This window comes from Homo sapiens, chromosome 6, assembly GCF_000001405.40.
Source record: "Homo sapiens chromosome 6, GRCh38.p14 Primary Assembly".
Lineage (NCBI taxonomy): Eukaryota > Metazoa > Chordata > Mammalia > Primates > Hominidae > Homo > Homo sapiens.
In genome coordinates, this window is record NC_000006.12 from 154,925,347 (window position 1) to 154,939,158 (window position 13,812).

Below are 13,812 nucleotides of genomic sequence, written 5' to 3' on the forward strand. Positions count from 1 at the left end.
TGGCCAGGGGACAGCAAGCAGTGCTCAAGTCTGTTCCCCGATCTGGGGTGGCGCGAGCCTCTGTGGCCTTTCTAACTAGTCCCAGGTGATGCCATGGCAGCGGGTCTGCCAGGCTTGTAGTGGGAACAGTCAGGAGGTTAAACTTTTCCCTTTGCCCATGCCTGGGCAATTCTGGCTCTGCATCACTGTAACACGGTTAATGTTACTGCTGTAATGGTTAGTCAGTTGAACTGGGTTCGGGATACAGAAGCACTTGGAATGGTCAATAGGTAAGCCTCAAAGAGGTTTCACAAAACCACACAGCTAAGATGGGGGGCTTTCTGATGTTTTAGAGCAGCAGTTCTGACTTTTTCCCCACCCAGGTACTCTTCTCTTTTTCTTTTCTTTTCTTTTCTTTTTTCTCTTCTCTTCTCTTCTCTTCTCTTCTCTTCTCTTCTCTTCTCTTCTCTTCTCTTCTCTTCTCTTCTCTTCTATTCTCTTCCTTTTTTGAGATAGGGGCTCGCTCTGTCACCCAGGCTGGAGTGCAGTGGCTAGGTCATAGCTCACGGCAGCTTCAAACTCCTGAGCTCAGGCGATCCTTCCACCTCAGCTAGGACCACAGGTGCGTGCCACCATGCCTGGTGCCTGGCTAAGTTTTAAAATTTTTTGTAGGTACAGGGTCTCCCTCTGTATCTCAAAGTGTTGGGATTACGGGCGTGAGCCACTGCACCCAGCCCCCACCCAGTTACTCTTACTGGCAAAGGAGAAAAACAAATCCCCTGTCCTCTGGGCCAAGGGCACAGCAGAGATTTGCCAAAAGCATGAAATAGCCTGTTTTATCACAAACCCCTGTGTGGCCATAAAACTATGTATGAACTTTACCCTTTATTCCTACCTATAGGTTTGTTTTAATATACAAGTCATGATTTGTGCTATATCAAACTACTTAACTCTCCGACCGCACCTCCTAGGAATTTTTAAATAAAATCGAGGCTATGGGAGGATGCTTGGGGTTTGTCCTACGGCTCTGTGTGACTTGATGTTCCCCAGCTCACACTTGGGGAAGAAGCATCAGTGGTGGCCCTGAGCTCTCCCCCGGGCCTGCCCTGCCCAAGTGCACAGGGTGCTGGGCAAAGTTGTTTCTGCCGTGCCCTGCTGGAACTTCCAGACAACTCCTGACTGCCCGATGGTGTTTGACCTTCCATGACTTTCTCCGGTCTTGTCATAATCTCCATCCTCCCACGTGGGTGCTTCCTTTTGGGTGTTTTCCTAACAGCACCATTGCATCTGTTGGAAAACAAGGTCATTAGCTCTCTGCCTCTTGTTCCTTCGTGTTTCTCCAATATCGTTCAAGTCTTGCAGACTTTCCTGCCAGTTTCCCAGCTTTGTTTGCCGTTTCAGTGTTCTGGGCAGAGGTGGAGACCTAAGCCCAACAAGTAATCAAACAAACAAAAACAAATAGAAGACTCAGAGCTGACCAGAGAGGTTTGCAACAGCATTACCTCGGGGGCTGCAGGTTCAAAGGTGTAAGCATGACCTCTGTTCTGATGCCAGGCTGGTAGTTAGGGGAAGTTTGGAACAAGATCACCAATCTCAACAGAACATGGTCCTTCCACATTTCCAGCATCAAGTCAGACAGGCAGCCTCACCATAGCTTAGGGCGGAGAGCGGGCATTGGAACTGTGCGGGTAGCTTTGGCTGAACCATGAAAATCGGGCAAGTGACTTAATCAACTCATCCTCTGGACTGTGCTTGTTCAAGTGTCATATGCACAACACCTTAAATTTGCTGTTGTTTTAAGTTAGCATACAACGTCCTGAATGATGGTTTAAAAAAAAAAAAGAAAAAAATGAATTTTTTTTCTAAAGTTGAAAGAGTGTAATAATCAGGGACACAAGGAGCAGATTTAGTGTTTTTTGTTCTTTTTATTGGTGTCCTGCTCTTCATTAGAGTCTTTTTTTTTTTTCTTTCCCGAGACGGAGTCTTGCTCTGTTGCCCAGGCTGGAGTGCAGTGGTGCAATCTCAGCTCACTGCAACCTCTGCCTCCTGGGTTCAAGCGATTCTCCTGCCTCAGCCTCCCGAGTAGCTGGGATTACAGGTGCGCCACCCCATGCCTAGCTAATTTTTGTGTTCTTGCTAGAGAAAAGGGTTTACTGTGTTGACCAGGCTGATCTCGAACTCTTGATCTCGTGATCTGCCGGCTCGGCCTCCCAAAGAGCCGGGATTACAGGTGTGAGCCACCGCGCCTGGCCCCATTAGAGTCTTACAAGCATAGATAGTATCAGTAGCACCAGCACGCACAAAGGCTCCCTCTGCACTGGGTCCTGTGCTCCAGGCTCTGTGTGCATTTTATTAATTCTCTTCACAACCCTCTGAAGTAGATTCTCTTATCACCCTAATTTTGCACATGGCTTAAGGGGATTAAAAAACTTCCCCCAAGGCCAGGCGTGGTGGCTTATACCTGTAATCCCAGCACTTTGGGAGGCCTAGGCAGGTGAATCACTTGAGCCCAGGAGTTCGAGACCAGCCTGGGCAATATGGCGGAAACCTCCATCTCCACACAAAAATACTGAAAAATTAGCCTAGTGTGGTTGTGTGTGCCTGTGGTCCCAGCTACTTGGGAGGCTGAGGTGGGAGGATCACTTGAGCCCAGGAGGTCAAGGCTGCAATGAGCTATGATTGTGCCACTGCACTCTCAAAACAAACAAACAAAAACCTTCCCCAGGTTCACGCAAACTGGGAAGTGTCAGAATCAGTCTCGAAGCTCTGGTGCCTCTGATCAGGAGTCTTTCTCTTGACCACTGTGTGACACATCCACACCCACCAGCTGTCTCCCTGGAGAAAGCTTACCTTTTCGTGTTCAAGATAAGGAACAATATCAAAAATGAACAGGAGCACCAGAATGCTGGAATCATATTATATTTCTGATTGTTAGTGTATTTCTAGCTTTGTATTACTTTATATTTAAGGAATACATTTAGTGAAGCACTGTTTTGTTTTTTGTTTTTGCTTTTGCTTTTTTTCTGCTAGAGAGTATCTTGACTTTCAGGAGTTAGAACTCACTTCTAATAAGAAGATATTTACATCCGTAATTTAGCTGGTGTATCTTCTGGATTGATTGATTTTATTACCCTGCCATGCTGGAAGTGTGAATTCAGCCAAAGCATACAGATTTCAACATTTGTATAAAGGCTACCTCAAGAGGGCGCTCCTTGCAAGCCGTAGAGTTGTTTAGTTCTCTCCGGGCCTGACACTTGATTTTGGAGAGTATTTTCAGAGACTGCATTGCAATCCTGCATGAGTACAGAGGAAATTCATGGAAGAGCCATGAGGAAACATAACAGAAGTGCAGAAATCTGAGTCTTTAGGATGGAAGTTGTGAAGTTTCAGGGATTTCAATTTTTATAAAGATTAAAGAAAAACCTCTCAATTCTTTTCCTGTATAGAATCATAGAAGGGCTAGAAGAATTGCTTTTCTCTATTTTTAAGGACTTGGTAGGAGTGACGGTGGGAGAATTCTCAGCTCTTCTAGATAACCAATTACATCATTTAATATATTGATTTGATATCCTGAGGCAGATGGTATTAGGGTATTTGTTTTTGTTCTTTTAAAAATCATATTAGGGCCAGGTGAGGTGGCTCATGCCTGTAATCCCAGCACTTTGAGAGGCCGAGGTGGGTGGATCACCTGAAGTCAGGAGTTCAAGACCAGCTTAGCCAACATGGTGAAACCCCGTGTCTACTAATAATACAAAAATTAGCTGGGTGTGGTGGTGCACGCCTGTAATCCCAGCTACTTGGGAGGCTGAAGGTAGGAGAATCGCTTGAACCTGGGATGCGGAGGTTGCAGTGAGCTGAGATCACTCTATTGCACTCCAGCCTGGGCGACAAGAGCGAAACTCCATCTCTAAAAAATAAATAAATAAATATCATATTAACTCTTCTAAAAAAAATACAAAGAGGCACAGCTAAAAGGCAATAGGGAAATAAGAATGGAATTCTAAATAATGTTTAATTAATCCAGAAGAAGGTAAGAAAGGAGCAGAGGAATTTAAAAAACAGATGAGAGAAACTAAAAATAAATTCGAGCAGCAGACTTAAATGCAATCACATCAGTAGTTAACATTAAATATAAATTGACCAAACGGTCCAATTTAAAGACAGAAATTGTTAGGCTGCAGAAATAAAAACCCAACTCTATGCTGCCTTTAAATATAAATACAGATAAGTTGAAAGAAAAAAGATGGAATATGTCACACAAACAGTATGTTTTAGAAAGCTCGAATGGCCATATTAATATACAATAAAATAGACTTCAGGATGATATTACCAGAGGTAAAAGGGACAATTGTCCAGGAACATATAAGGCATAAAACTGTGTATGTCCAGTAATAGAGCTTAAAATACGTGAAGAAATATTGACAGGCCAGGCACCATGGTTCGCATCTATAATCCCTGCACTTTGAGAAGTCAAGGCGGGAGGATCGCTTAAGCCTAGGAGTTTAAGATCAGCCTGGGCAACATAGTGAGACCCTGTTGCTACAAAAAACTAAAAACTAGCTGGGCGTGGCAACACGCTCCGGTAGTCCCAGCTGTTCAGAAGGCTGGGGCAGGAGGATCTCTTGAGCCCAGGAGGTTGAGGCTGTAGTGATCTATGACTGTGCCACTGCACTCCAGCCTGGGCAACAGAGTGAGAGCCTGTCTTAAAAAAAAAAAAAAAAAAAAAAAAGGAAAGAAAACAAAAGATTGACAGAATTTACAGGAGTAATAGATAAATCCACCATCACAGTTGGCGATTTTAACATCCCTCTGTTAGTAATTGATAGAACAACTAGACAAAAGCACATTTATTCATCTAAATTGGCCATCCATGGTGGGGGCTGAGCTGCAGTCAGCTAATGGGTACTCTGCTCACGATGGTTTCTACTTCGTGTTCCTGGCTAATGAAGAAGCAGCTGTCTCAGCATCCTTTGTTACCCAGAGGACGTCTTGAGATTGATTACAGTTACTCCAAGGGTGAACCTGAGTCTTTACCTTGGCAAGCAAGTTATGGAGGATTTCCTCTTTACTCCAACACTTGAGATCAACCCTGTCGTCTAGACAGGATGAGTTTCTAGTGAACAGAGTAAATTGCTTCCACTCAAATAAGGCACCTATCTCCAAGGAGCACTTTGTAACTACCGTTTGCTACAACCCCAGGCTGCCGGGGAAGCAGGTTCCTCTGAGAGTCCTCAGTTTGATTACACTGATGGGCCCTTGAGCGCAGAGATTAGAGTTTTACCTATATAGTTAAGTGACACTTAAAGTCCAAGACCTATTATCTTCCAGCCATCCACTTCAGGACCAGATTAAATTCGGCTAGGACTGCTTAATAGGATTATGGAAACACAAGGACCAGCCTCATCCTCCTAGCTCCAGGCAGATTCCCCTCACCGCACCACTTATCAGTTCTCAGCCTAACCATCTCCTGAGAAGAGAATTTTTCAATTTCCTGCATTGATAGGATTTAACAGATTTCCGGGGCTGAGAAAATGGGGGCTTCCCACATTGTGAACGCTCTGTCTGGGTAACACAGAGGCCTTGTTTAGGTGAAAGCATCTTGTGTTTCTGTGTCAGTTAAGCCATGCGTGGTGATGGAGGCAGCACTGTCTGGACTGGTCTCAGAGCAATTCCTTTTTTTTTTGAGACAGGGTCTCTCTCTGTCGCCCAGGCTGAAGTACAGTGGGATGATCTCGGCTCACTGCAACCTCCACCTCCTGGATACAAGCCATTCTCCTGCCTCAGCCTCCCAAGTAGCTAGGATTACAGACATGTGCCGCCACGCCAGGCTAATTTTTTTTTTCTCTTTTAATTTTGATATTTTTAGTAGGGTTGGGGTTTCATCGTGTTGGCCAGGCTGGTCTCAAACTCCTGACCTCAAGTGATCCACCCGCCTCGACCTCCCAAAGTGCTGGGATTTCAGGCATGAGCCACCATACCTGACCCAGGTACCCAACTTTAAAGAAGAAAGTTTGGTCACAATACCATCTCCTTTTTAAGGGATGAATTGTTTAGGTTCATTTGGCGGTTTTCTAATCTTAACGTTCCGTGGCTTAACATTCAGCACTGAGAACTGAGGATTTGAATTCTGATTTGAGAACTTGATCTGATGAATGTAATGAAGGCATTTCTTTCTCCACCTCCCTTTCCTGGAGGTGCTGCGTACCTTTGCCTTTACTGTATCCTCAGATCAGCTTAGTGGGGCTCCTGCCTGTAGCGAGAAACTAATACCCTCTGTCAAATCTCCTGTATGCATATTTTTAAGCTCCAGATGAACGTTCCTTTTTAAAGAACTTTTACAACAGATTTGTTGTAAGACGTTAAGCTAGAAAGAAGTATTATCCTACACTGCTCTTATACTCTTGTGTTTGGGGTTGGTGGCCTGATTTTTCTTTTGAGGATATGTCTCATCGATGTAATTCTAAAACAATTTTAAACCCACAGATTAAGAACATATGTTTCTTCATGGCACATGTTGAGAAAGACTTCAACTCATTCTGCAGTCTTTACTGAAGAATGTCTTTAAAGCAAAATTGCAACTGGTCAGCTCTATTATCTACAAATTTTATCAAGTCTTGACCCAGAGAGTCAGACCAAAGGCTTATCTGACCTTGTATTCTTCCTCTGACAAAGGCCCCAGTTTTTTCAATTGTTGTGTGGGAAAGGTGGGTGGGGTGGGGAGGGTGATGAGGCGGAAAGATGTTTTCCTTCCCTTGTGTCAGTCACAGAATGTCAGGAATGTTCCTCAAAGGTAGATCTTCAGCATGACCTTTGCTAACTCCTTCTTGAATTTATTTATAGTTTATCTGCTACCTCTTGGGACATAAGTTTCAAATGCTTATTATCTGCAGTAGTACAGTACTTCCTCTTTTTGTCCTAAAATCATTTCTTTCAAGCTTCAAGGAGCACCCTGGGTCTCAGTATTTGGAAGCGATGATTACATCTGTATTTTCTCCATTCGGTTCAGCTTGATCCCAGAGGCTCTGATGGTATCTGCTCAGCCTTTGTCAAGACTGAGCAGGCTAATTTTAGTTTAGAAAATGGAAATTTTTCAAAGGAAACTTCCTCCACTAGACAAATTGTTTTTGACCTGAGGTTTTGATCAGGGTACAGTGGTCCTCATTGTTGAAATGCAGGAACACTTCTTGTTGACCGCTAACAAAGGGTTAAACATCACGGGCAGTGTTAGAACAAGTTAAAAACAGAACCTATCCAAAGCATATAACGTGCACTCCAAAATAAGCCAGGCTCGCTCCTTGTTAATGGGATCATTGCAGACATGCCAAATTCTACAACTAGTCAATTGTATACATATGGTAAAACTTTTCATACCATTCAACATTTGCTGCAATATGATTTTAATTACATACAGATTGGGTAGCTGGAAGAAAGCACTGGAATTAAATAGAAGAAAGTTCAACACAAGCTCTTTTATAAGCGGCCCTGGTTTAGGTTAGGATGTATGCAAATGACTGCCAGGGACAGGAAGAGGAATGTGTGGTTTGGAGGACTCTGGGGATGGGACATGACTCATCTTCAACCTGGGAACACAGTTGTTTATCTGGAAGGGAGAGTTTACAGAAACGGTGATTATATTCCTTTTGAAGTTGCAACTTATGCTGATGCTTGCACCTTGTTACTTACATTCTTCCTTCCCAAGTATAGGGTAGTCTCTGCAGACAAAGTTGCTCTCTGGGCAAAAATTGCATTCAGTTGGAAAAGTGGTGGGGGTTGGATATGAGAGAATGGTACTTCTGAAAATGGTACTTCTGAAACTCCCCCCCCTTTATTAGGCTGTGTTTCTTGTTTCTTTGAAGTTAATTTTACATAATGATTTCAAACGTGGTGCTGTTTATTTTATGCAAGAAAAGAGCTGGGAAGCACATTTTGTTTCAGATTCTGAAATGGCGATGGCCGTTGTGGGAGCGTGGATGGGCCTTTGCCTTTTACAGAGGGGGAAACCGCCACTCTGGAATGTGCTTTCCTCAAACTTTCATGGCATATCTTTGGTTTTTCTCATAACTTACTGGAATGGCTTTTACTGACTAAATATCTTTTTGGTGAGCCGCTCTGCATCTCAGCTTTCTCTTTTGTGAAATGAAGATAACATCCCCCAGCGCTTACTTCATGAGGTTTTTGTCTGAAGAAGTTTGAAGACTTCAAGACACAAAACCTGACTGAACTGCAGAGCCTGCGAGCATCTCCCAGGGAAAAGATGGAGTTAGTGTAAGAAGGATGTGGAACGAGCCCTGCTTTCTAGAACCAGTCCTGTCATCACAGCAGGCCATCTCCAGGATGGGGATGGGGGTGCCGGGAAGCTTAGTGTAGGGGCCAGCAGAGGCTCCAGGGAGAAGGGGACTGGGCCTCCTGGGAGCCCCAGTCACAGAGTGGGTGAGCCAGTGGATCCCAGGTGTGGGGGAAGACAACAGACCCACCCCAACATCATCTTTGGCCAGGAAACTTCATTAGCAGTTTCCACCTGCTCTGCAGCCTCTTGGCTCACCTGGATGTGGCCATAGCAGTGACAAGCATCTGTATCCATGCTCATCCGCCTCTCCCGGTGAATATTCATGTACAGAAATGAATCTGCAGACATACACACTCTAGTCTACTTCTCTGTCGTTTGGGCTTTAGCTAAGTCATTTTTTCTTGAGAAAGTCACCAGTTTTAGCCTAGAGGGAGTTGTGGACTTATGATCTATTTGATTAAATAATTAAGTTATTTATTTACATTTCTCCCTAATAAATATCTGTAGGTTGGAATATCTTACTTTGAGGGAGATGGCAGGACTAACTAGCTAAAATGTAGCCTCTAGTTATGAATTTCTTGAGGGCAGTTTCCACATCTTACCCTCTTTTGCTGGGTAAGTAAAGACTAGATGAATAACTCTAAAGTTAATTTCACTTTGTCGAAATGGATTTTTTAATGGATTGCTTAATGTGTTCAGATATATACAATAATGACATCTACCAGTCATACAAGTAAGTTTCTCCCTGTTTCAAAAGAAAGGAAGGATGGAAGGATAAAAGGAAGAGAAGGAGGAAAGTCATTTGTACTTCATTTCAAATAGGAATTCCTCATTTCTTCTTTGGTATTTACACCAGTGGCCTTAACATATTGATCCCAAGCAAAATTAAATACTTCTAGAAGCCACTTTTACGGAGCCCCAGTACTCAGTTATCAAGTCCTAAAGAAGCAGGAGATACTGAATTTAGCTGCAGGGGATCTTTTGCTGTGCAAGGCACCCCAAAGAAGTCACGTTATACATAGAGTGCCACCGTCCTGTGCCCACTTTGCCATCTGCCACCTCCCTTGTTGAGACCACAGTTTTCTGGGGTCTGGGCTAAACTCAGCCACACAGAGACCATCTTCCCTCACATTGGGAAAGGGGACAGGTGCATGGGGGTGAGACGGGCTTGATCAGCACGAAGAGGCTGGCTGCTTTATATGCGGTGTGACTCAGGCCTCTTGCTCCAGGGTCTGACTTCCCTCTTGCTGACCTTTACCACTTTGCCATTGGGTTCCTAACCCACTCACGTGCGAAGAGAACGCCAGACAGTAACATAGGGAAGGGCATTCTAAGCACTGGAGAGGAAGTAAACATGTGCGGGTGTCTAAGAACATGGCAAATTTTTGGATAACAGAAAGTTTACCATTGTTGGAATGTAGGAAAAAGGGATGAGTGGGAATTTACTGGATATAAGGCTGGTGCGCCAGATCGGGACCAACTTGCACTCACCATGGTCAATTATCATGATATATTTATGTGTCTGTATCTCCCACTTGTTTGTACCCTGATATCTAGGAATGGGTCTTACTGACTTTTTCCAGTAATTCCTCAATTCCATGGTGTTTTTACAAGGGCCCGGTAGATTTTTCTTGAATGGATGACTGAGTGGATATCGATTAGTATTGGAAGTCAAGTTAGCTCAGACTGACAAGCTGAGCGGACTATAAATGGGTTATATACCATGGTGATTTGTTTGGACTTTATCTCCTAGGCAATACATATTCATTAAAGTTTCTAAAACAGAGGAGTGACCTAAACCTATCGGTGTTTTAGGAAGTAATTCTGGCTATAATGTGACAGATTGGTTTGTGAGAGACTAGAAGTTGTAACAACGGTTAAGAAACTAATATAATGGCTCAGAGGAGATAAGAGAAGGCCCGAGAGAATAGAGACTTGAGAGAGACATTTATAAGGCAGAATGTGGCCAGGCGTGGTGGCGCGGGCCTGTCAGCCCAGCACTTTGGGAGGCCAAGGCAGGCGGATAACTTTGAGGTCAGGAGTTTGAGACCAGCCTGGCCATCATGGCAAAAACCCATCTCTACTAAAAATACAAAAATTAGCCGGGCATGGTGGCATGCACCTGTAGTCCCAGCCACTCGGGAGGTTGAGGCACGAGAATCGCTTGAACCCAGGAGGCGGAGGTTGCAGTGAGCCGAGATGGGGCCGCTGCACTCCAGCCTGGACAATGGAGTGAGACTCTGTCTCAAAAATAAAATGAAATAAAATAAAAGTTTACAAGGCAGTATTAGAGCCCAGCCCCAACTTTTGGTGAAATCAAAGATCATCGTTGGCTGGGTGTGGTGGCTCATGCTTGTAATCCCAACACTTTGGGAGGCCAAGGTGGGAGGACTGCTTAAGCCAAGGAGTTTGAGACCACTCTGGGCAACATGGCGAAACCCTGTCTCTAGAGAAAATACAAAAAAAAAAAAACAACAAAATTAGCTGGGTGTGGTGATGTGCACCTGTAGTTCTAGCTACTTGGGAGGTTGAGGTGGGAGGATCATCTGAGCCCAAGAAGTTGAGGCTTCAGTGAGCCATGATCATGCCACTGTACTCCAGCCTGGGCAACAGTGAGACCTGTCTCAAAAAAAAAAAAAAAAAAAAGATCATTGATGCCTCAAGTGAAATTAAGTATGATTTTCAAGTATATTTATATTCAAAGAGGAAAAGGAAAAGAGATCTTAGCAATTGGACACTAAACATAACTGATTGATGTTCATTTAGAATAATGACACTTAGTAAATAAGCATTGGGTGACCAATAAGATTTACATGGACATGCAAAAGAACTGATCTTTATAGGAAACAGAATATGCATATTGCTTTTATAATATACATGCTTTATAAATACATGAGTGAAAAGTATATGCTGGTGTAATAAGTATTATCAGGGCTGCTGCATGTGGTCTCACAGGTTGTGCACTGCACAACTCTAGGGCACAGCATTAATAATAGCAATAGGTCACCTACACCCCATATGTCCCTTTTATCCTTCAGCTGAACAAGTTCATGGACTGCTGCTTTGAGTAATAAAGATGTTTAGGATGGGAATTTGATAACCTTGTGAGGATTAATCATCTGATAGAAGCTTCTATGGTCAGGTCATTAGTGTTAGGTGTGTGTTGATTAGGAGTAGAGGACGTCTTTAAAAAATGAGAGAAGTTTTTCTCCTTCTAAAAGACTTAAAAAAAAAAAAGGCAGAATCTTACTCTGTCTTCCATACTAGAGTGCAGTGGCGTGATCTTGGCTCACTGTAACCTGCATCTCCCGGGTTCAAGCGATTCTCCTGCCTCACCCTCCCAAGTAGCTGGGATTACAGGAGCCCACCACCACTCCTGGCTAATTTTTGTATTTTTAGTAGAGACGGGTTTTTACCATGTTGGCCAGGCTGGTCTCGAACTCCTGACCTCAGGTGATCCGCCCACCTCAGCCTCCCAAAGTGCTGGGATTGCAGGCTTGAGCCACAGTGCCCACCCATAAAGGACGGACTCTCGCTCTGTTGCCCAGGTTGGAGTAAAGTGGTGCGATCCTAGCTCACTGCAACCTCTGCCTTCTGGGTTCAAGTGATTCTGGTGTCTCAACCTCCTGAATACATGGGACTACAGGCATGCGCCATGGCGCCTGGCTAATTTTTTAGTAGAAATGGGGTTTCGCCATGTTGACCAGGCTGGTCTTGAACTCCTGACCTCAGGTGATGTGCCTGCCTTGGCCTCAAAGTGCTGGGATTACAGGCGTGAGCCACTGCACCTGGCCTCTTCTACCCCCTTCTGATGACAGTGGCCGAATCAAGCGTTTTTGTTGGTGGTGATGTTTTAAGGCTTCCTAGTGTGTAGCGTGCCCCACGCAATGATGCTCGGTGTTTCTGTGTCTTGTTCAAAGTGAGTAATGCAGAATGACACGTGGACTCAGCCATTAGAAGGAATGGATTCACAGAAGTGGATGAAGAAAATAGGATCCCTGATATTCTTTCACAACAATCATATGTTGCTTTAAAATTTTTGTGGATTTTGCTCACATGCTTCAAGGGGAACAGCTCCAAAATGTGACAGCCCAGAATTTAGGTTTGGCTGGCTCCTGGCTATGGCCCGCTGTGACTGGGGTTTCTGAACCATCACAGCAGTTCTCAGCGGCCCGAGACTCAGCCGGGAGGATGCAGAAGGCTCTGTGTCAGAGCACAGCGCCCTCCTGGACGTTACTCTGCTGAGACCTAGTGGAAAGGAATGAAGCCTTGTTGATTTCAGAGCAGCCCAGACAAACTGCATTGTAGACAATCTCCAGGTTCTCAGCCCCTTGAGATCCAGTTGCCAAACTGTGGTCTGGAATGGGGCCTGGGCACAGCGCAGGTAGTGTACAAAGATCTGTTTTTCTCCCCACACATTCGTCTAGTGGAAACATGTCAGGCCTCCTCCTCCAAGGCTGTGCATTTATTTTAAAGAATGTTAGAGAGGAAATATATTGCTTACCATCTTCCTCCCTCTTTGGGAGTGTTTATTGTGATTGGAAATCATTCTAGTCCACGTGGCTGTGGTGTTCCCCCACTCTCTGTGCTCTATGTTAAACGGGCCTCTGTGCAAATAAACAGAAAAGGGCAACGTTTTTTATTCAGCTACAGAAGAAGGAGTGAAGTTAGACTCTGGAGAGCTGGAATCGCATAACCCTGGCTTGTGTGCTCGGCGGCGCGCTTTCTTTTCTTGCCGCTGGAGTGAAGCCAGAAGGTACAGTAGGGTCCTTAGCCAGTGATGGCCCAGAGCCCAGACTCAGGTATTCTGCAGTGAATGGCACTGCTGGCTCTGCCTCGCCGTTTGGTAGAATTTACCTGGGGTTTATCTTGACTACTCCTGCTGGGAAAGGACATTTTGAGTTGCTCTGAACTTCATTAAAACCTAAAAGTAAGAAACAAAGCTGAAAAACTTGTGCATTTTGGATATGAAACATTTTATTTTATTTTTATTTATTTATTTATTTTTGAGACGGAGTTTCGCTCTTGTTGGCCAGGCTGGAGTGCAATGGAGCGACCTCGGTTCACCGCAACCTCTGCCTCCCGGGTTCAAGCAATTCTCCTGCCTCAGCCTCCTGAGTAGCTGTGATTAGAGGCATGCGCCACCACGTCCGTCTAATTTTGTATTTGTAGTAGAGACGGGGTTTCTCTGTATTGGTCAGGCTGGTCTCGAAATACTGACCTCAGGTGATCCGCCTGCCTCGGCTTCCCAAAGTGCTGGGATTATAGGCATGAGCCACGGCCTATTTTATTTTTTTATTATTTATTTATTTATTTATTTATTTATTTATTTATTTATTTATTTGAGATGGAGTCTGGCTCTGTCTCCCAGGCTGGAGTGCAGTGGCGCGATCTCGGCTCAGTACAACCTCCGCCTCCCGTGTTCAAGCAATTCTCCTGCCTCAGCCTCCTGAGCAGCCGGGATTACAGGTGCCCGCCACAACGCCTACATTTTTGTGTTTTTAGTAGAGATGGGTTTTCACCATATTGACCAGGCTGATCTTGAA

General features: G+C 44.5%; 1 annotated feature.

Annotated features, from left to right (window-relative positions):
* Positions 13,239 to 13,414: a silencer, noted in NCBI's record as "fragment chr6:155259719-155259894 (GRCh37/hg19 assembly coordinates)". NCBI's record gives its function as "represses an EF-1alpha promoter that drives an FKBP-Casp9 reporter gene in an ReSE screen in K562 erythroleukemia cells {active_cell/tissue: K562}" and the evidence as "EXISTENCE:reporter gene assay evidence [ECO:0000049][PMID:32094911]".